The 22,510-nt window shown below is 39.1% G+C and overlaps 1 protein-coding gene across 1 annotated transcript, besides 1 other annotated feature; it reads left to right on the top strand.

Annotated features, from left to right (window-relative positions):
* Window positions 12–151: an enhancer, noted in NCBI's record as "active region_10849". NCBI's record gives its function as "activates an Ori minimal core promoter by ATAC-STARR-seq in GM12878 lymphoblastoid cells {active_cell/tissue: GM12878}" and the evidence as "EXISTENCE:reporter gene assay evidence [ECO:0000049][PMID:35858748]".
* On the top strand, window positions 104–22,303 carry NUDT21 (nudix hydrolase 21). The gene is made up of 7 exons (NM_007006.3): window positions 104–349; window positions 3,447–3,647; window positions 4,747–4,810; window positions 11,690–11,779; window positions 16,607–16,682; window positions 16,991–17,105; window positions 18,703–22,303. The coding sequence occupies exons 1-7, from the start codon at window positions 234–236 to the stop codon at window positions 18,722–18,724; spliced, it is 684 nt and encodes a 227-aa protein (NP_008937.1). The 5' UTR covers window positions 104–233; the 3' UTR covers window positions 18,725–22,303.

The raw sequence follows: 22,510 nt of genomic DNA, 5'->3' as shown, positions 1-22,510 counted from the left end.
CCATCCCACCAGCAATTGGCCCACTGGAGCTCGGTCTGGCAGGCCACCGCCCCTCTACTTCCTGCCGCCAGAGGCTCCGGGTTCACTTCCGGCGTGCCTACGCCTCCTCTTGCGCTGTCCTGTTAATGGCGGGCAGTAGCCGCTGAGGGGATTGCAGATAACCGCTTCCCGCACGGGGAAAGTCTACCCTGCCTGCCACTTTCTGCTCGCCGTCAGCGCCGGAGCTCGCCAGCATGTCTGTGGTACCGCCCAATCGCTCGCAGACCGGCTGGCCCCGGGGGGTCACTCAGTTCGGCAACAAGTACATCCAGCAGACGAAGCCCCTCACCCTGGAGCGCACCATCAACCTGTAAGTGCGGCGCGGCCTTGGCGGGCATTTCTCTCGTGAAAGCTCCTATAGACTCTCCGACGCGCCCCCGGCTTTTCGGCGCGCTTCACGCCTCTGCACCTCCCCGCCTCCAACTCCCGCTGGCGGATGCGCGCCTTCCTCCCTCTCTCAGGCCCCTTTCTCATCCTCCAGCCTCCAGGGTTAGAGTCCTTTTCTGAAAGGAAGGCTTGTTCCCATCCTATGTATTCGGTCATAATGGGGAAAAACGGAGTTTGCTTTTAACTCATCCTTTCCCCACCTCTCCAGAGGTAACCGACTTCAAAATGTGTGTTTTTTTAATCCTTCCAGTGAATTGTTTATGCTTTCGCATCACGTACATGGTATTGCTTTGTGAGTGTTGATGTGATACGAATGGTATAACCTAGTATCATTTTTGCAGATTTCACTCTGACAGTAAGGTTTCGAGATCTAGCTGTAATGCCTAGGTCTAGTTTTCTTCCTTTTAGGTGCCACTTAATACTTCAGTTTTTGAATACAACACATTTTATTCATGTGCTCAGGGCTGTCTGCCCTGCCCCATGCCTTATGCCTTCGCGTCGTCTGATGTCTCAATGCCGGCATCCCAGGCACCACAAGTAGGCCCCTCCTTGGGAGTAAGGATGCTGCTATGGTTGGGCTTTCAGACTGGAGGGAACCAGAATGTTTGTACCAGAAAACCCATTGTGGGCTGTGTTTTATTTTCAACACCTTTCTGTTTCAACACTTCAAACCATTGCATTTCAAGGTCATTCTCAGAAGCAGACTCGCTGTAGCAGGTAATTGGCGTTTGGGGTGTCTTAATCAAGAAATTGTCAGTAATGCTTTTTAAAATCGTTTCTGAGGATTTGTTTTCGAGGCAACGCGGTGCCTCCATTTTATGCCAGGATGGAGGAAAGTGGCCAGTTTATGCCAGTCAGGGTACAAGTGCAAGGATTTGGTGGTATTGATGTTTTCGTAAGGCAGTTTAGGTGTTTCTCTGTTTCATATTAAAATAAACGGACATTGTCTCCCCGTCCCCCAACCAAAAGTGATTTGAAGTTGAAAAGATGGTTAACATTGTTTTATTTTGCAAAACGTGTTGGCTTGGAAATTTAGATAATGGAAATGCTGGGTTTATAAAATCTGGAATTAGTTGATAGTTGTGTGTATAAAAGTTCTCAGGAGTGGCGGCTCACGACTGTACTCCCAGCACCTTGGGAGGCTGAGGTGGGAGGATCACTTGAGGCCAGGAGTTGGAGATCAGTCTGGGCAACATAGGCTGTCTCTACAAAAATTTTTTTAAAAATTAAGAAAAAATCCATCAAATGGTAAAGGCAAATGTTATCCTTTTTAAAAGTGTGAAAGCACAGCTTCTGGATTACTTTCGGTGGTTATTAGAACTAAAACCCACAGTCTTTTCTTGTTTTGTCTTGATTACTGAATTAATTTGCATCCAACCATTTTGTAGAATTGGCAAAATAGTTAGCTTTCAGTAAGATATTTTAATCTTCGCTCTATTAAAATTATGGGTTGATTTACAGTACATTTCCTCTCCTGTGTAAATACAAATATTCAGAAATAATAATTGTGTTGTGAACTTAAGTTCACCTGAGTTAACATTAAGTTGAAAACAAATGCCCTCTCCCCCAGTATATTTTATTTTAGGAAATATTGCATGAATGCCTACTTTGTACCAGGCACTGTGCACAATACTGGATATACAGTGGTGAGGAAGTAAGGTGTAGCCCCTGCTTTATGAAGCTCACAGTATGATGAGAACAATATGTATGTCTGGGCTGGCACTCTGATTTCACAGGTGAAAATTCTGACATTTCATCTTCACATCTCCTTACTGATATATTGGAGCTGGCTCTTGCAACAGAGATGTGTAATGGCTATCCTTAATTCTTTCTAACTCAGGTTGTCAGAATTAAATGTTAATATATGTAAAGCGTTTTAAAAAATTGCTTGGCACGTCGTTCTATGTAGCATATCTGCTGCTGCTATGGATGATGGTTTTAGATTTAGCATTGGATCTACCGGGGATGTTCTTTAAATTTTTAAAGCATCCTGGAATGGTATATTTTAATTATTTTAGAGCTTTTTCATATGCCTAGAACTTGGCTTCTGGAATTAAAGTAATTTTTAAAGTTTTGGCAACCTTGATTTTTTCCCCTTTCAAGAATGGCTGAGTGGGGTAGATACAATAATGTTGACTATTAATGTCAAGGGCTTTTGGTAGAATAGATACCTTGGATGGGCAAATGTGGCCTAAATTCGTACTCAAAGGCTTCTTGCTGTAAGGCTTTAATTAAGGGCTTACAACATATAAGTATGGATTTTTTAACTATCTTTAAAGAAAAATTTGATCCTTATTAGGCAAGATGAAAACTGTCTTTAACAGTTTGAGCCATATTTTAAATTATTGGTAAAGGAAGAGAGTTTTCGATTAGATATGGTGGGTAGAAGATTCAGATGAGGAGAAGGAAACAATAAGGAGACTGAATAGAATAAATGCCAAAGGCTAGTAAATAGGTTTAGAGGACAAAAAGAGAAAGTAGAAGAGTTGCTGTGAAAAGGAAAGGCTGTGGTGCAAGAAAAATCTGAGGATAGTTGACTGAGAGAAATAGAAAATAACTGGAGGGATGTTGATGAAAAACGGTGGCTTAGTTTTAGGAAAAAGAAATTAGCCATTAGCACCCATAATTAAAACTTTCTGATTAGATTAGTAGTCAGTGGAATGCAGGGGGACATTAATTATTAGCCAAATTGGTAATGTTGAAATAGCAGCCATGGTATAAAACCAGAGGATTACTAATGTTCAGATAACCATTTCTCTAAGCATTTAAGGATAGTGTTATCTACACTTGAAAGTTAAAGTATGGAGGAGCAGCTTGATCTAATGGAAGCTCTGGCTTTAAGAGTCCAGAGAGCAAGATTCCAGTCTCTGCTGTTTCATTAACTTTAGTTAACTGTACAAATCCTGTGTCTGAGTACAATATATGCACTTTTTTTGTACCATGGTTTCTTTATGCTAATGTCTGTCATGGTAAATTACATTCTTCAGTTCTCATGTTAGATGTTTGTCTTCGGATCACAGGTACCCTCTTACCAATTATACTTTTGGTACAAAAGAGCCCCTCTACGAGAAGGACAGCTCTGTTGCAGCCAGATTTCAGCGCATGAGGGAAGAATTTGATAAAATTGGAATGAGGAGGACTGTAGAAGGGGTTCTGATTGTACATGAGCACCGGCTACCCCATGTGTTACTGCTGCAGCTGGGAACAACTTTCTTCAAACTGTAAGTAGTGTTGGAAATTAACAGCAAGACAGTTTTTAGTAGGATTGCTGTTTATGCAGCTCTGGAATACAATTTTAGCCCTCGGTCATTCATTTCAACAAACACTGCTGTTAATGATGTCTTTAGAAAGAGAAAATCATGAGTAATTTTTCTCCATTGCAGTGCTCATTTATTTTCCTAACTAGTAATCTGTATGTTTCTGTATGTTGTTGATGTTAATGATTGAGCTTGGTAGAAACCCCATGGAATAGTTGAGTCCAAGATCAATGTCTAGATGTCATTGTAGCATTACCAAGAACAATTGATATTTCTTTCTTGGTATGATTAGCATTTCCTGTTCTTAAGATGACTTAGGTTTTTGTGGATAACAGTTTAGTGTTTTATCATTTAAGCTCCTACATCTCTCAAACATTTGATCCGTAACTATTTGACTAGATTATACCAAAAAGAAAAGTCTCCAATACTTAGATGACGTTCTTGAAAAAGTTTCCCATTCTTTAGGCCTAAAGAATGTGATCCATTCCTCTCTGAGCATTTCTAGACTCCATTATCATCAGATAGCTCCCAGAGAGGAGATTGGGATGGACTGGTGGTTAGCAATTTTGTTTATGTTTGTGCTATGTTATATATTCTGTTTGTTTAAAACTAGGGTTTATGTGATGGGTACATATGGACATAAAGTTGGAAAAAATAAACACTGTATACTCCAAAGGTGGGGAGGGTGAGGGGGAGGCGAGGGTTGAAATACTTCCTATTGGATGTTATGTTCACTGTTTCAGTGATGGGTTCACTAGAAGCCTAAACCTTAGCATTACACAATATACCTATGTAACAAACTTGTACATGTACCCGTTGAATCTACAATAAAATAAAAATAAATATATACGAAGAGGAAAAAAACCTAGGGTTTGTATACTGTTAGTCTGGGGAATTGACATGAATTCAAGCATATTCTCCCCCTTCACTTTGATACTTGTTTTGATTGCCTTATTATGCTGAAATATGTTCTTAGTGACTTGGTAGAAATAACAATTATTGTGTTATTTGTTATCTCCAAATTGTATTAAGTTGAAAGCTGAAATTCTTAACTTTTATACAGACCTGGTGGTGAACTTAACCCAGGAGAAGATGAAGTTGAAGGACTAAAACGCTTAATGACAGAGGTATTTTTCTGTTTAACCACTTTGAATACCATCAACTTACTAGTTATTTGGCTTTTAATGTCTTGTAAAAAGGATGCTTATTTTGGAATATTTAGTTTTCAATAAATACAACTTAAACTCCAGAAGGTTAGTACAATGTTGATTTTTTTTTACAAGTTGAAGTTACACTTATTTCAATTTTTAAAATGTTAAACTGTGTCACAGCAATGGTAAATTAAAACTGACATTTAAGTATTACTGTGCTAGACACTGTTCTGAGTGCTTTACATGCGCTAATTCCTTTAATCACCACCACAACTGTAGGAAGTAGATATTATTAAGTTTAAATTACTTCTTGTTATATAGCTAGTGTGTTGTAGAGCCAGAGGTTTGAATGCAGGTAGTTTTGTTCAAGAGTAGGCCTCTATAGAATTTTGAAAAGAGAAAGATGCCTGTGTTTTCACTTTTTTCACATATTTTTTAGACTTTGCCCAAATTATTCTACTTTTTAAAAATCATTGTAATGCCTGCATGTAAAGACTTGGGGCCAAATGCATAGATACTGAGGATTTTGAGATTGTAAATTGTTTTCAATGTTAGTTTTCTTCTTTAACATTCAATTGCCGCCTGCCCCTGTTACAAAGCTCATATATTCTCTGTGCAAAAAGCTTGGCAAACACAGAAAAGCAAAGGAGAAACAAAACTAAAGTCACCCGTAATTCTCCCACTTTTGACCTATTGGTTTGTCTTTCTAGTATTTCTAAAAATGTATTATAACTCTTAAACATTTTCCTGTGCTTGGACTTCCATTTATATAATGTATGGTACAAAGATATAAGTCCATTAAGGTTGAGGGAGTGCAAAATGAGAGAATCACAAAAGCAAAATTTTTGGAAACTGGAAAACAGATGGGCAAATTATAACTAACTTAGCAGAAACCTTAGTCCAGCAGACAGGCAGGCAGAATCTAGCATTGCAGAGTACCAGAATGACTGAGGAACTGAAGGTGCTAGGTACTTATGAAAGTGGGGGCATGCATGGGCTGAAAACTGGACTGGTTCAAAGTATATATGGAGTATATTTATACAGGTTGTGTATTCCTTATCTGAGAGCTTGGGACCAGAAGTGTTTAGCTGCTATTTGATAGCACAACAGGGTGACTATAGTCAATAATCACTTAATTGTAAATTTAAAAATAACTAAAAGAGTATAATTGGATTGTTTGTAGCACAAAGGATAAATGCTTGAGGGGGTGGATATCCCATTCTCCATGATGTGAATATTACGCATTGCATGCCTGTATCAAAACATCTTGTGTACTCAAAAAAATTAAAAATTAAAAAAGTGGTTAGGATTTGGGATTTTTTTCAGGTTTTGGAATATTTGCATTATACTTACCAGTTAAGCATCCCATATACAAAACTTGAAATGCTCCAATGAGCATTTCCTTTTTTTTTTTCTTGAGACGAAGTCTCTCTCTTGTCACCCAGGCTGGAGTGCAATGGTGCAATCTTGTCTCACTGTCACCTCCGCCTCCCGGGTTTAAGCGATTCTCCGGCCTCAGCCTCCCGAGTAGATGGGATTAAAGGTGCCTGCCTCCACGCCCAGCTAATTTTTGTATTTTTAGTAGAGACAGGGTTTCACCATGTTGACCAGGCTGGTCTAGAACTCCTAACCTCAGGTGATCTGCCTGTCTTGGCCTTCCAAAGTGCTGGGATTACAGGCATGAGCCACCACGCCCGGCCTGAGCATGTCCTGTGAGCATCATGTCAGTGCTCAAAAAGTTTGAGATTTTGGAGTTTCAGATTGGGATGTTCAACCTGTGTATCTAGATTGTCTTCCCCACTCTGTAATTAGGCAAAGACTGGCTGATGATTCTCTGTAGTAATTGAATCAGAGAACAACTAGCAATGAAAAAAGTTTAGGGGATGGGGAGAATAAGAGTTCCTATTCTGAATAGTCAGACTCTTGGACCTCTATTAGGCTGACAGAATGTTAACAATTAGGCTTGTTTTTTTTTTTTTTTGTTTTTGTTTTTTTTTTTTTGAGGCGGAGTTTCACTCTTGTCGCCCAGGCTGGAGTGCAGTGGCGTGATCTCCAATGTGAGCAATGGTTGCTCACTGCAACCTCTGCCTCCTGGGTTCAAGCGATTCTCCTGCCTCAGCCTCCAGAGTAGCTGGGATTACAGGTGCCCACTACCATGCCCAGCTAATTTTTATATTTTTAGTAGAGATGGGGTTTCACCGTGTCGGCCAGGTTGGTCTCGAACTCCTGACCTCAGGTGATCTGCCTGCTTTGGCCTCCCAAAGTGTTGGGATTACAGGTGTGAGCCACTGTCAGTCTAGGCTTACTTATTTTTTTTAGAGACAGGGTCTCACTCTGTTCCTCAGGCTGGAGGATGGTGGTGTGATCATAGCTCACTGTAACCACAAACTCCTGGGCTCAAGCAATCTTCCTGCCTCAGCTTCCTGAGTAGCTAGGACTGCAGGTATGTGCCCATGATGCCTGGCTAATTAAAGAAAAGTTTTTTATAGAGATGAGATCGTGCTATGTTGCCCAGGCTGGTCTCAAACTCCTGGCCTGAAGCAGTCCTCCCAAAGCATTGGGATTACATGCATGAGCCACCAGGCCCAGCCAACAATTAGATTTATATATCCCAGGCTGAGGGTTGGAATTCTTGTTTCTGGAAAAAGTGACCAGTCCAAGAAAAACTTCAGATACTGCCATTTGGGAGCTGTCTTCGTCTGTTTAATGTTGCTATAACAGAATACCTGAGGCTGGGTAATTTATAAAGAAAAAGATTTATTTGGCTCACCAGTTCTGGTGGCAAGATTGGGCAGCTGGTGAGGGCTTCATGGTGCTTCCACTCATGGCAGAAAGCAAAATGGGAGTGGGCATGTGCAAAGAGACATGGCAAGGGAGGAAGCAAGAGTGAATCCAGGAAGCCACACTCTTTAACAACCCTCTCTCCAGGGAACTAATCCATTCCTGATGGAGGAAGGGTATTAAACTATTCATGAAGGATCCACCTGCATGACTCAAACACCTTCCACTAGGCCCTGCCTGCCAACACTGTCACATTGGGGATCAAATTTCAACATGAGTTTGGGGGCAGGGAGACAAACCATATCCAAACCAAAGCAAGAATTTTCTATAGAAATAATGTAGTCCTGGGCCAGGCGCGGTGGCTCACACCTGTAATCCCAGCACTTGGGGAGGCCAAGGCGGGTGGATCATGAGGTCTGGAGTTTGAGACCAGCCTGACCAGCATGGTGAAACCCCGTCTCTACAAACATAAACAAATTAGCTGGGCGTGGTGGCGGGTGCCTGTAATCCCAGCTACTCGGGAGGCTGAGGCAGGAGAATCAGTTGAACCCAGGAGGTGGAGGTTGCAGTGAGCCAAGATCATGCCACTGCACGCCAGCCTGGGCAACAGAGCAAGACTTCGTCTCAAAAAAAAAAAAGAAAAAAAAATATTGTAGTCCTATCACTCATGCACACAGAGGTGACAATTAAGCATCTTGTTGCTTCTCCCTTGTGAGTACACAACCAACTATCACCAGGCTTTTGGAGAAAACTTCTTAACAAGAAAAAGATCAAAAGAAGCAAAAGGACCTCAACAGAAGCAGAAAATTCAACCATTGACAAAACTATGATTAATATTCTTGGTGAGATGAGAGGAGATTTTGCACCTGTGAAACAGTGCTATTAAAAAGACATTTTAGCCAAGAAAAACCTCATGGATATTAAAAAAATGTTGGAAGAAATGAAAAATTCAGTAAAGAGTTAAGAGGTTCATTCTACCAGAAAATAGAATGAAAAGATAAAAAGATAGAATGTAGGTAAGAATAGATAAAATTAGTGGGTCATTCTAGAAGGACCAATATAAACTATAGATAAATAGAACAGAGTAAAAGGAAGAATTAGCAAAGCATAATTAGAGAAAATTTCTCAAACCTCAAAGGGCATGAGTTTTGAGATTGAGAAGACCTACTGGCCTTGCCTCTATAGTGAATGTTTAAAGATCCACGCAAAGGCATATCATCATGACGTTTTAGATCCTACAAACGAAAATAAAAACAAAAAGATGTAAAAGCTTCCAAAGTGGGAGGTGGAGGATTGGTAAGCAGAGAGGTTAAATGCAAAACATCAAAATCAGAAATTGCATTAAACTACCCAGAAATAATTCTGGAAGCTAAGGGATGGTGGAGTGTTGTCTTTGTAATTTTGAGAGAATATAATCTCTGTCCTAGAATTTTCTAATCAAACTATAAATCAAGTGTGTGGGTAAAAGTTACTTCTAGACATGCAGAGTTTCAAAAAGTTACATCTCTTGTACCTTTTCTCAGGAAGCTACTAGAGGGTGTTCACCCCCAAAATGGAATAAAATAAGGACTCCAGCTGTGAAGCAGGGTTGAGACTATCAAGTACAGATTACAGCAGGATGATAGAAAAACGTGTCTTAGGCTGGGTGTGGTGGCTCATGCCTGCAATTTCAGCACTTTGGGAGGCTGAGATGGGCAGATCACGTGAGCCTAGGAGTTTGAGACCACCCTTGGCAACATGGTGAAAAATTAGCCTGGTGCTGTGGCTTGCATCTGTAGTCCCAGCTACTCGGGAGGCTGGGGGCAGGGGAGGCTGAGGTGAGAGAAGCGCTTGAACCCATGAGGTGGAGGTTGCAGTGAGTGGAGATCGCGCCATTGCGCTCCAGCCTGGGTGACAGATCTTGTCTTGAAAAAAGGAAAAACATGTCTTAGAAAAGATGAAATTAATAGAATAACTGACAATTGATATTTGAATTGGGAAGAAATTTAAGTTATCATGGAGAATGTGGGAAATGAATTTAGTGATAGCAAAGGAAATGAAAGTTATTAACTAAAGAATAGGACAGTTGAACAAGTAAGGAGATACGGTTTGCTAATCATTGCTCTGTTGTGACTGATCTACCGGATCATACTAACTTAAATACTGAATATTGACTTAACCAAATATTGATAATGGGAAGATGGTGGAAGAAAAAGTGTAACTAGGATGTGTGATTTTAATATCTAAATTCTCATTCATAGTAGAGGGTTATAGGCTTTTAAAAAATGTTTTTAAAATGAAAATCAAGAGGCCAGGCGCAGTGGCTCACGCCAGTAATCCCAGCACTTTGGGAGGCCGAGGCAGGTGGATCACAAGGTCAAAAGATCGAGACCATCCTGGCCAACATGGTGAAACCCTGTCTCTACTAAAAATACAAAAAAGCTGGGTGTGGTGGCGGGCACCTGTGGTCCCAGCTACTCGGGAGGCTGAGGCAGGGGAGTCGCTTGGACCTGGGTGGTGGAGGTTGCAGTGAGCCAAGATTGCGGCACTGCACTCCAGCCTGGGCAACAGAGCGAGACTCTGTCTCAAAAAAATAAAATAAAATAAAATGAAAATCAAGAAACTGTCATAAAAGAATATTTTGGCTGGGCATGGTGGCTCACACCTGTAATCCCAGTGCTTTGTGGGGCTGAGGCCGGAAGATTGCTTGAGGCCAGGAGTTGTAGTGAGCCATGATTGCGTCGCTGTGCTCCAGCCTGAGTGACAGAGCAAGACCCTATCTCTTAAAAAATGTAGTTTTGAGGCCCGGTGCAGTGGCTCATGCCTGTAAGCCCAGCACTTTGGGAGAGTGAGGTGGGCAGATCATCTGAGGTCAGGAGTTCGAGACCAGCCTGACCAACAGGGTGAAACCCCATCTCTACTAAAAAGACAAAAAATTAGCTGGGCATGGTAGCATGTGCCTGTAATCCCACCTACTCCGGAGGCTGAGACAGGAGAATCACTTGAACCTGGGAGGTGGAGGTTGCAGTGAGCCGATATTGCGCCATTGCACTCCAGCCTGGGCAATGAGCAAAACTCCGTCTCAAAAAAAAATTTTTTTTTTGAAAAATATGACTTTACATTGAAGAAACGTGATAAACAGTACCTCAGCCCATTAGTGATAAGCCATATTGATATAGCATGTACCTTTGATATGACGTGATGAGAATGGCCCTTTTACCTCTGTAGTTTTCTTCCCAAAAGCTCATAACTTCAATTTAATTGAGGGATGTTTTACAAAATACTTGACCAGTATTCCTCAAAGCTATCAAGATCATCAAACACAAGGAAGGTATGAAAAGCTGTCACAATGTAGAGGAACCTCGGAAGAAATGAAGATTAAGTGTAATATGGTATCTTAGATGGGATCCTGGGACTGAAAAATGAAAAAGGACATTAGGTTAAAGACTATGGATATCTGAATAATATATGGACTTCAGTTAATAATCTTGTCTTGGTATTGGTTGATTAGTTTGACAAATGTGCTTTACTAGTGTGAGATGTTAACAGTCGGGGAAACTGTGTGGGGTATATGAGAAGTCTCTGAACAAGTTTTGCAAGTTTTCTGTAAATCTAAAACTATCCTAAAATAAACCGTTTATTTAAGACCAAGAAGAATGCTTTTAAAAATAGAAGAAAACATGAGGGGAAAAACAACCAAGAGTTGAAAGTTACAGCCAGTGGGAATGGGTGAAGCAGGACAGAGAACTGCAGTTTCTCACCATGAACATTGTAGAACTATTTTTGGCCACTTAAAATATGTAGAGTATGACTTTGGTTAAAATAAGTTTAGTGTTCTGCTATACAAATTAATAAAAATGAAAGCTGAATTTTGAACACAATTTTTATGTTGATACTAGCTTGCCAGTTTTGAACTAATATTGTATGTCTTGGGCAGAGTGACATCTATATTAACAAATCATAGAAAATCTGTATGGAAGGCATATTATCCCTATGTTTCAATTAGGAGCACTGCTAAGAATTTTCTGTTCACTGAAGAAGGGGATTTGTGAGTACATATATTTAGTTGTTTACTGGCTTATTTCTTTTTGACAGATACTGGGTCGTCAGGATGGAGTTTTGCAAGACTGGGTCATTGACGATTGCATTGGTAACTGGTGGAGACCAAATTTTGAACCTCCTCAGGTCAGTGTTCAGTTACATTTGCTGGGCATTTTGGAAGCAGAAAGCTCGTTTAATTCTAGCCACTTTAAAAAAGATTAAAGTAGAATTTGACTTGAAATTTTCTTTTCTTCCCTCCTTAATTTAAATTACAAAATTAAGCCAAGCACTTCTTATTTTAAAGGAAAATGTAAAACAAATACAAGGCCGGGCGAGGTGGCTCATGCCTGTAATCCCAGCACTTCAGGAGGCCGAGGCGGGTGGATCACCTGTTGAGGTCAGGAGTTTGAGACCAGCCTGGCCAACATGGTGAAAGCTCGTCTCTACTAAAAAATGTAAAAATCAGCTGGGTTTGATGGTACAAGCCTGTAATCCCAGCTACTCCGGAGGCTGAGGCAGGAGAATTGCTTGAACCTGGGAGGCAGAAGTTGCAGTGAACCGAGATTGTGCCATTGCACTCCAGCCTGGACAACAGTGAGACTCCTTCTCAAAAAATAAATAAATAAATAGAACAAATACAAAAGAAGAGAGAATGGTAAAAGTGAATGAATTGCGCTACCCGTCGTCTGCCTTTAACAGTTAGCACATCACAACCCCTCATTCCACCGCTTCATTCTCCTACCCTCATCTTGGATTATTTTGAAGTGTATCCTAGCTATTCATTTCAATTGTAAATATTTCAGTGTGAATCATAAAAATAAGGATCTCTTTAAAAAGATAACTATAGTACTGTTATTATCATACTAAAAATAAACAATTCCATATTATTGTCAAATATATAGTCACTGTTCGCGTATCCTGATTATTTCTATTTTCTTTTTATAATTTGTTTGGATTAGGATAGTCTCTAAAGTCTCTTTTACACACTTGGCACCTTTTTTTTTTCCTTGTGTTTTATTTGTTAATGAAAACAGGCTAATGTTTCCATTTCGATTGCATTCCCCTGTTGTTGTTGAATATGTAGCTGTTTCCCCTGTGTGTCTTGCAAATTGATAGTTAGATCTAGAAATTGTATTCAGGCTCAGTTAATTTGGGGAGGGGTAACAAGGCTTGTCATAGGCGGTATATAATCTATACCTGCATAACAAATTACCTCAAAATTTAGCAGCCTTTAGGCCTCTGGGAGTTGCTTAGGGTGGTTCTGGCTTAGGCTCTGTCATGAAGTTACAGTCAAGTTGTCAGCTGGGACTGCATCATAAGGTGGAACTGGGGTTAAAGTATCTGATCCCGAGCTTACACGTGTGTGTGTTAGCAAACTTCTTAGTTTCATCTGGGCTGTTAGACTAAAGCTTTGCTTCAGGTGTTGCTGGCTGTTGTCTCAAGGTCTCCCTCAGTTCCTTGCCATGAGAACATCTCTAAAAGGACAACTCTCAGGCAGCTGGCTTACCCAAGGCTGTGTGATCCAAGAGATAGTGAGAGACAGAGTGCTAGAGGAGTGCCCAAGTAGGAAGCCTCAGTCTGTGATAACCTAATCTTGGCAGTGGCATACCATCACTTCTGCTGTGTGCTATTGGTCACACAAGCCAACCCTGGTACGCTATAGGAGGGACTACACAAAGCAGTGAATACCAGGAGACAGGAATCATTGGGGGTCATCTTAAGGCAGTCTATCACAATTGGTATAGTGTACTTCCATCAGGAATTTAAAAATATTTGGTTGTTTCTTGTTGTAATGTTAGCAGCTCATTGATGATCATTTCCTGGTCTATGAATTCATAAGGGTTGTGATCCTCATATAAAAAGAAACTTATGTATTACTGAAGTGTGTGGTTTGTGTAGAAAAAAAAAATATGCTGCTATTCCTTTACTTAACATTTTTCAGAAGAATGACTTAATTCCTTAGCATCCTCTAAAGACTTGACTTTATTCAAAAGAGAGGGTAAGACCAAGACTTGGGTACAGGCAGTTTGAGAGGTGATTCCAGGAAGCAGCAGAATACAGGGGAGAGAGAGACCAGAAGCAGCAGAAGTAAGACAGGGCATGTTATTGATCTTTTTACACCTGTGGGCAACTGGATTTGTTCTGTTAAGGACCAGGAACCATGTAGGGACTCCTATACCCCATTGGATAAGGGTTGCATGAACTCCCTTGCATTTCCATGTTGAGTCTTGAGTGCTTGTTGAGACAGTGGCAGCAAACAGGGAACCCTCTGATACTTTTCAAACATAGCTGCCCCGAAATCAGAGGTAGCGTAATGTGGGGCACACACACACAAAAAGCATGTTTCAGTGACCTTTAAAGTGTCAGTATGACCTTTTGGATTTAAATAATTTGAAATATTTTAATCCATGATAATGAGTGATGATGTTACTGATGCTCAAATATTCCTATTTTTGCTAATGGTGGAACTTCTTAAAGTTGGATCCTGAATTCTTTAGGCAAATTAAAAAGCCCTATGACTTTATAGCTCCTTTACATGACAAGATGTTTCAGGTCAAGCATTGCACAAAATATCAACCAAGCAAAAGATCGTTCTTTTCTCTTGCTTCTGACTCCCTTGTATGGCAGAGGGACAAGAAGATAGGGGCTGTGGAAGCTGATGCTGGTGTTCACTACCTAAGAATTGCCAGGAACACATCTTGGCTTTAAGGAAGAACAATTTCATATGGAAACAGTGAAGTTACTTGTTCAAAGATACATAGTACAGTTATTCTAAACTTTTTTTTGGCTTCCTGAACATGCCTTGATCTAATTGGAAAATGCTTAGTAGTGACCCCAGTGGTTTTCCAGATAACTTTTCTGAATATCTTCACTCATCTCCCCTACCACTGTCCTAGGACAGTTCTCTTCATTCAGTAAGGCCTAGAGTTGGCCCTGGTGGTATTTGACATAAGGTAAGTGTATTGATTTATTTAGGAAGCCTAGAGTATTAGTTAGATGTCAGTGGAAAAGGAGCATATCATCTTCCTATCTCAGTCTTTTTGTATAAAGTACAGTCAACTTAAACATTAAGACCAGAGAAGAAAGGCTTAAAAAAATAGGAACATGTAGCCTTGAGCAGAAGAAATTTGGGGAAATGCTACTCATTTTGTTTGATCATGGTTTGGGAACTTTTATTGTATGTGATCCACAGATCTCTTAGCTTGTGCTATTCAGGCCACTTTCTCTGTGACTGTTAATGTATCTGGTTTTCATGACAGTTTAAGGAACCTCCAAAGCCTGGGACAATTGCCTCAATTCATTGTACCCTAGGGATGGCTCTGATATATAATTATTCTAACTGGAATACTGGTTAGGTGCCAATGAGTAACACAGTGGGAAATAACATAGGCTTTTATAATTAGATAAGAGTTGAATAGATACAGTTAAATCTTGGCTTCACAACTTGGCTGAGTAATCTTGGGAAAGATACTTAGCCTCTCTTAGCATGTGATTCTGTGTAAATTGAGGATGATGCTAATACCTCCTTTTGGCAGCTTCTGCTTTTATCTCACTTTCCCCTTATATCTGTTTTCAGCAATTTTAAATTCCCCAGCTCTCAGATACAACTCCAACAGCAAAAGTAGATTTCTGAATGTATTGTGGAGAGATTTATACAAGAATTGTATAACCCTTAGACTTTTTTTTTGTTCTGTGTCAGAATTTTTCCTTCCCGGGTAGCAACTTCCCTCTCTAATTCTCTTCATCCCTTTAAATTCTCTAAAATATACATATATATTATATATATATTTTTATATTTGTTTCCTCGAGTAATTTGGCTTTGCCCATCTGGCAAAACTTCACTTAGACTGCTCTTCTGGTATTCCTGAAGCATGCACCTTGGCATACGGGGAGGTTTGAGGTTGGGGCTGGAAGGAGGAGCAAGAAGCATCTTGTCAAATGCCTCACAGCTTATATTTGAATTTTTAATGTAAACAGGTCTACAACAGGATTCTAGACTGTTTAACTTACTGATCATATATATATATATATATATATATATATATATATATATATAATTTTTTTTTTTTTTTGGGAGACAGAGTCTCACTCTGTTGCCCAGGCTGGAGTGCAGTGGCATAGTCTCGGCTCACTGCAAGCTCTGCCTCCCAGGTTCACGCCATTCTCCTGCCTCAGCCTCCCGAGTAGCTGGGACTACAGGCGCCCGCCACCACGCCTGGCTAATTTTTTGTATTTTTAGTAGAGACGGGATTTCACTGTGCTAGCCAGGATGGTCTTGATCTCCTGACCTCATGATCCGCCTGCCTTGGCCTCCCAAAGTGCTGCGATTACAGGCGTGAGCCACTGTGCCCAGCCTATATATATATTTTTAAAAAACCAGCTTTTAGGCTGGGCATGGTGGCTGATGCCTGTAATCCCAGCACTTTGGGAGGCCAGAGCAGGTGGATCACCTGAGGTCGGGAGTTCAAGACTAGCCTGGAGAAACCCTGCCTCTACTAAAAATACAAAATTAGCCAGGCATGGTGGCGCATGCCTGTAATCTCAGCTACTCAGGAGGCTGAGGCAGGAGAATCACTTGAACCTGGGAGGCAGAGGTTGTGGTGAGCCGAGATTGCGCCATTGCACTCCAGCCTAGGCAACAAGAGCAAAACTCTGTCTTAAAAAACAAACAAACAAAAAAAAGCTTTTATTAAAGATACTAATTAAAATCGGACTTCATTATGTTTTAAGTATCTCAAGCTATAAATCCTGTGACTACATATTTTATCTCGAATGGTTGACTGGTTTACTGCTTGTTATTTTATATGCATTAAAGCATTTATTTACTAGTGTATCTGTTAGATAAGTCCTGGTAAAGAGGACAGAAAGTAGTATGCTTCTCCCAACAGTTTATACTATACTGGGGAGTAAACATGTAAAGAAATGAAGCCATGGAATACATATTAAAGTTGTATTCATTTGTAATTTCAGTATCCATATATTCCTGCACATATTACAAAGCCTAAGGAACATAAGAAGTTGTTTCTGGTTCAGCTTCAAGAAAAAGGTAAGTTATTTTGTTTTCAAAGGTAGCCATCTAAAAATTCTGTAGAATAATTTCAAGGATACCTCTATTTGTGTTTTCTCAAAGTTCCTTGAACTTTTGGGTTTGTTGTAAAACTAAAGATGTATACCATGCTTTTAGTTTCAAATCTGTGGCTAGGAAATCTACCTTGAAAGACACAACCAAAATGTATTAATGAGAATTATCTTTTTTCTTACACTTTTTATTAAATGTAAAATTGGTAATTTAAAAATGAAATGGAAGCAGTGATTATATAATAACTTATAATAATGAATTCTGTTTTATTTTAGCCTTGTTTGCAGTCCCTAAAAATTACAAGCTGGTAGCTGCACCATTGTTTGAATTGTATGACAATGCACCAGGATATGGACCCATCATTTCTAGTCTCCCTCAGCTGTTGAGCAGGTACAGAAAGTTGAACATTTTTTGGTTCATCCATATTAACTGTCAAATTTAAAATATTCTGAGCCACTTGGGAAGGTATAGTTCATGAATTTTGGTCTTTAAGGAAACTAAGAAAGTAGATAGACTCTTAGATCATGTGCAAGCCATAGATTAATTGTGACTAATACCATCCCCAGACTCTTAAGTTTCGGCATGACATTCTGGTATTTGTGCAACTGCTCTTCCCTAATTCTGATATTCTCAAGAGTTAAGGTTGATGTCTTTATTCAAAAAAGAGATGGTTAAATAGCAGTCAACAGTGTGTAAATATGAGCGGAGTTGTCTGTATTAAAATGTGGCAAATTGGCTGGATGTAGTGGCTCATGCCTGTAATCCCAGCACTTTGGGAGGCTGAGGCGGGGGTGTATCACCAGGTCAGGAGTTCGAGACCAGTCTGGCCAAGATGGTGAAACCCCATCTCTACTAAAAATACAAAAATTAGTGAGGCGTGGTGGCCAGCGCTTTTAATCCCAGCTACTTGGGAGGCTGAGGCAGAGAATTGCTTGAACCCGGGAGGCAGAGGTTGCAATGAACTGAGATCACGCTACTGCACTCCAGCCTGGGCGACAGAGTGAGACTCCATCTAAAAAAAAGAAAAAAAAGGTGGCAAATCGAATATCTTGGTGTAATATATTCGTTTTCCTTTTTTGAAACTTACTATATTTTGGCCCAAATTGAGGCTTGTGGGATTAGGTCCTGAACTTTTACGTGGGGTTTGAATCTTTAGGCAGTTAGAGTGATAAGAAATGCAGTTTTTTAAAAGTTGACTTGTACTGGTTGAGGTCTCTATTAGAGCCAGCCATATATAGGAATTGCAGAATAACATGGTGGTTATGAAAGTAGATTCTGCAGTCAGTGTTTTGGATTTGAAGCCCAACCTCAGTACTTGCTGGCAGTGTGACCTTGAACAAACTATTATACCTATTTGACTGTTTCTTCTTCTGTAAATGGGGATAGTAGTCTCTACTTCAGAGGATTATGAGGACCAAGTGAAATAATGCATATAAAATGCTTACAACAGTGCCAGTAATCTGGTACATACTTAATAAATGTTAGTGAAATTGGCCTTTTGTGAAAGCTTATTGAGTATGAAATTGCTCTTTCTACTTCGTCACTAATCAAACCTTATCTTTTGCCACTCCACTTTGGCCTCCTGATAGGTTACAAGTTGAAATGCATATGGGGGGAAAAGAGTCATATTATTTATTCAAACACCTACTTGTCAAGTGCAGGAACTGTGCTGAGTAGTCAGAGTATAAGGACATGTAGAAACTTTTCCTGCCTTAAAGAACTTATTAGTGGATAATTAATCAAATTTATAGTCTTAATTTTTTTTATTATAAGTATTCAACAAGTGTTTTTAGTGTGTAAGATGTGACCAGTGAGGGAAAATTGGTGTAGAAAATGCCAAACGTGGTAAAAAGGCATTCGAAGGGGAAAAAAAGAAAATGCCAGACATGCTAAGGGAGGGCAGAAACATCCAGATAAATTTATTTATCTAATATGGAAAGTAGTATGTACTGTCTTTAATAAAGGTATTGTTCTTTTTAAAATTCAGGTTCAATTTTATTTACAACTGAATTCCTGCGCAGTGGAGAAGTAAAAGAAGCCGCTTGTCTCTGTGAGCACAGCTATATACAGTGTAGAATAAATGTGGTAGAAAAGTTTTTTTGGTTTTATCTCTTTTGCGATCCCTAAATTGCCACCTTTCTATTGTTTGAATAGTAAAATTAATATGAAGAACTAGATAGTGGTGTAAACAAATGTGATAATGTTTATTTACTTTCGGTTCTGCTCATACTTTTTTGTACAACATTAAAGAAAATGGACTTTTTTTATTTTAATTTCTCATTAAACTTCTAAAATTCTTATAGGTGAGGATCATTTTTCCCCCCACCTTAGGATGGTGAATGTTGCAACACAATGACAGGTTTAAGTCAGTCAAGTTTATTGGACCCTTGCTTTGATACCATTCTTGGGCACATACTCCAAGATTGTATTAGATTTTTGTGATGAAGAGCTTCCATTACTTCTGAAAACTATATTTATCTGAGTGAGTCCAAGGTGCAACTCCTAAATGAATTGTGTTGCAGAGAACTCCCAGTATAATTCACTGACCAGTACATTTTATAACCATCCAGGCCTTGGTTTGCAAGCAACAGACCTTAAACATACAGGAAACTATTAAAATTGGCTCGATCAGTAGTCATAGGAATTGGTATAAGAAGAGACTCATTTAGAGCTCAGAGTTTTCTTCACATAATGGGGGTATTAATTATTTGTGCTGTTGCGAAATTATGTGTCTTATTCTTAAAGCCATGGTAAAAATAGGGATCTGTGAAGGAAATTTCTAAAATTGGATGTATTAGGTTTTGAACTCTGAGATTGCACAAATATTCAATTAACTTGAAGTTGTGTACATAGAGAAGAAAATTTGGTTTTAGCAAATGACAGAGCCTTCAAAAATATTTTTGGAATAATGTGAATCAACCGAAAACTGGGGGCAAGGCAGAGGACAGGTTTTCTCAGGTTAAGAGAAAAACGAAATTTTAAAAACTTTAAAAAATACTGATAAATTCGGATCAAATTTGGGGGAATAAAAAATATTAGAGCAAAGGAGTTTGCTGGTTGTGTCATTATTTAATGATCAAAGTATAGCATGTATGCCTTATTACAGACTTGTTGACTATAGGCTTAATGTAAAAAGGAATCTTGCCAGATGTAGCTACTTAAGGAAAAAAGGGTTTTTAATAGAAATGAACTTTTGATTAGTATGGTGCCAGTCACAGGGCTATTTTCCTGAATATTGGGTGATGTCAAAGGTATATGATACTTGAGGAAATCAGGCCAAGTGTAGCTGAGCAATTAATAAACACTCAAGTTTTTTTAGTTGGGGTCATGTCAAACCCTCACATGGTGGTTAAGTAGTGACTAACTGTGCATGTCCTTCATGGTAGGTGAGCACCAGTCTCCATGATCAAAAATGCCCCAGTTTCCTTTGAAAAAGCCACTAGTTCTGTGAATTGTCCTTTTCCCTCCTGCCCCTAACAGTCCTACCCCTCTAGCCTACATTAGCATATTTCTCATGTAATGTATTTTGCTGGTAAGCTCATCCATTAGCTGCGTCCTTCAGCTATTCCTTTAGATTGGAGGAAGTGGATATGAAGATGGATTGATTCAGCTCACCTTCCATGATTGCTTTTGAGGGAAAAGCTACAGTGGCCACATTTCAGATGTTCACTTTTGCAATTTGTGGAGGGTGGAGAGAGGTAGACTTTTGTTGTGTGTTTTATAAAGTACTCTCAGTAAGGAGTGTTTGAGTTGAAGAGTCATCTGATTCGAGGCCACTCATGTTCTTTGTAACTTAAACTTTGACCAAGAAATTCTTCACTTCTCACTTCTTCACTTCTTCCCAATATACAGTAAGTACGTGAGCCAGTCATCCATACACTAAGGCCTAGTTGAGAAAAACCTTTGATTCAGGATGGCTGGGTTACTAACCTTGAAATGTAAGAGATCTGGTTTTGAATGTAAAAGTTGCAACACACAAACGGAAGTCTTAAAAACTTTTTGCTCTGGTCAGTTACAGGTGGATCCCCAATAATCTGTTTTTGGTTTTCTGATGGAAATAATAGAATTAGGGGAAATCAAATCTGGTTGGTAGGTGTCTACAGTATTAGAAGAGGGTATAAGGGCACTGTTTAACACTAAGTTCTAATACTTCCAGAAACTGTGCATTCCAGATCTACATACTAAATGCTCTTATCATTTTGAAATGGGCTCTTGATTAATAGACCCATATTTTTTAGTGGCTTCTATGTTGTATATTTGTCTAAAATGAAAGCTCTTTTGCGTTCTAAAACTACAATATATGTCATCTTATTTTCCCTGAGTATCCAAGTATAGTGCAGATTCTATGTAAAACTACTAAATGACACTGGAATATGTTTAGTAGATTAGGGGGAAAAACTATAAAGGTTTATACAATTGTTTGTAGTTACATTTAGGATGGACTTATCCCTTTGGAGAAGAGTGAAGTTTGTTTTTTCGCCATGTGATGAAGACCACTGTGATTTTTTAAAAAAGTAGATAATACTTAAAATGGCGTAATAATTCTGCACTTGAATTTGTACTGTTAACAGCACATTTGGAAGATTTTAAAACTTTTTATTGTCTTATAAATAGCATTCACTTATTATTTTGGATATTTAAGGGTTCCATTAAGTTAACACTGTATTTGGACAAAGTGTGACCAAATTAGCCAGTCTGTTTTCTTCCATGTTTAATTAGAAGTGAGAGGTAGAAGTACTTCAAATTCAACAGGCCAGCAAGCAATCGGCTTAAAATTCCCTTTCTTAAATGTTGTGCTCTTATGTTCTCGGCTTTTTAATGACTTTATTTTTACAGTACTTGTTCAGTCACTTGAGATGAAATGCTTGGGGTAGCTTTTCCATCCTCAAACTTAATGTTTTTACTAGTTCATAGTGTTTGGAACAGTATATGCCAATCACTGAGACTGCATCAGAGTTTGCAATTTTGTATGTTTCATTGCCAAAGAAGGCTTAGTGGTTGTTGACTGTAGTATAAGTCAGCTTTCTGTAGCATAAGATTTGATTTTCCCATACTTACTTCACTTGTTATACATCACTGATTATTTGGGTTAAACTGGACTCATTTCAAGCAGTTTGCTTTTGTTCAAATCGTGATGAGAAACCTAATACTGTAATTTGATTTGAGCCATAAAACACATTTTAATATTAGCTTGTATTATAGTTATTAAGCTTGTTTTTGTGGAAAAAAACTTACTAAAACCTAGGTAACTCTAGATTAGGCCAGTTCAGGTGTATTTTGTATCTTAGTAATGGATCATATCGTAAAAATAGAGATAAGTTGGGAAGATATATTGATTATGCTGTTCTGTTGAGGGAAAGGTCATGTATTTAGAAATTTAAACTTTTGGTTATTGTGTTCACATCATAGTATTCAAGCATCATTTATAGTTTGGTTTTGAGAACTTTTCTGGTATTACGTTTATGGCAAATGTATAAAAGAAACAAGTTTTGGTTATATTTTTATATTTGTAAAGTAAGTTTGGTTAAAGTGATCACTGTTCTTTTTTTATTTTATTGTCATTTCAATAAAAAATATTTGAAAGAGAATGACTCTGTGATTGTTTTGGGATAGTAGTCCTGTATGTGTGGCTGCTGATCCTACTGTGCTAGTAGAAATCTTGCATGGTTCGTCACTGTGAGTGGCCGAGGGCCTTTAGGTAAGAGACAGCTTAGCATAATAGCAAGGGCCTGATGGCCTGGGTCACTGATGTTGCCCTCTCCTTGTGCCCCACACACTCCCTCCTCCCATTGTGT

The sequence above is a fragment of the Homo sapiens genome, chromosome 16 (genome assembly GCF_000001405.40).
Source record: "Homo sapiens chromosome 16, GRCh38.p14 Primary Assembly".
Lineage (NCBI taxonomy): Eukaryota > Metazoa > Chordata > Mammalia > Primates > Hominidae > Homo > Homo sapiens.
The sequence above is the reverse complement of the archived record's forward strand: the minus strand, read 5'-3'. Positions and strand labels throughout refer to the sequence as shown.

Bases quoted from the DNA above. Each gene is read 5' to 3' on its own strand.
- NUDT21 (NM_007006.3), top strand. From the start codon at position 234: ATGTCTGTGGTACCGCCCAATCGCTCGCAGACCGGCTGGCCCCGGGGG. The intron at 350-3,446 runs GTAAGTGCGGCG...TTCGGATCACAG, and splicing joins CTGGAGCGCACCATCAACCT to GTACCCTCTTACCAATTATA. The intron at 11,780-16,606 runs GTCAGTGTTCAG...TTGTAATTTCAG, and splicing joins CAAATTTTGAACCTCCTCAG to TATCCATATATTCCTGCACA.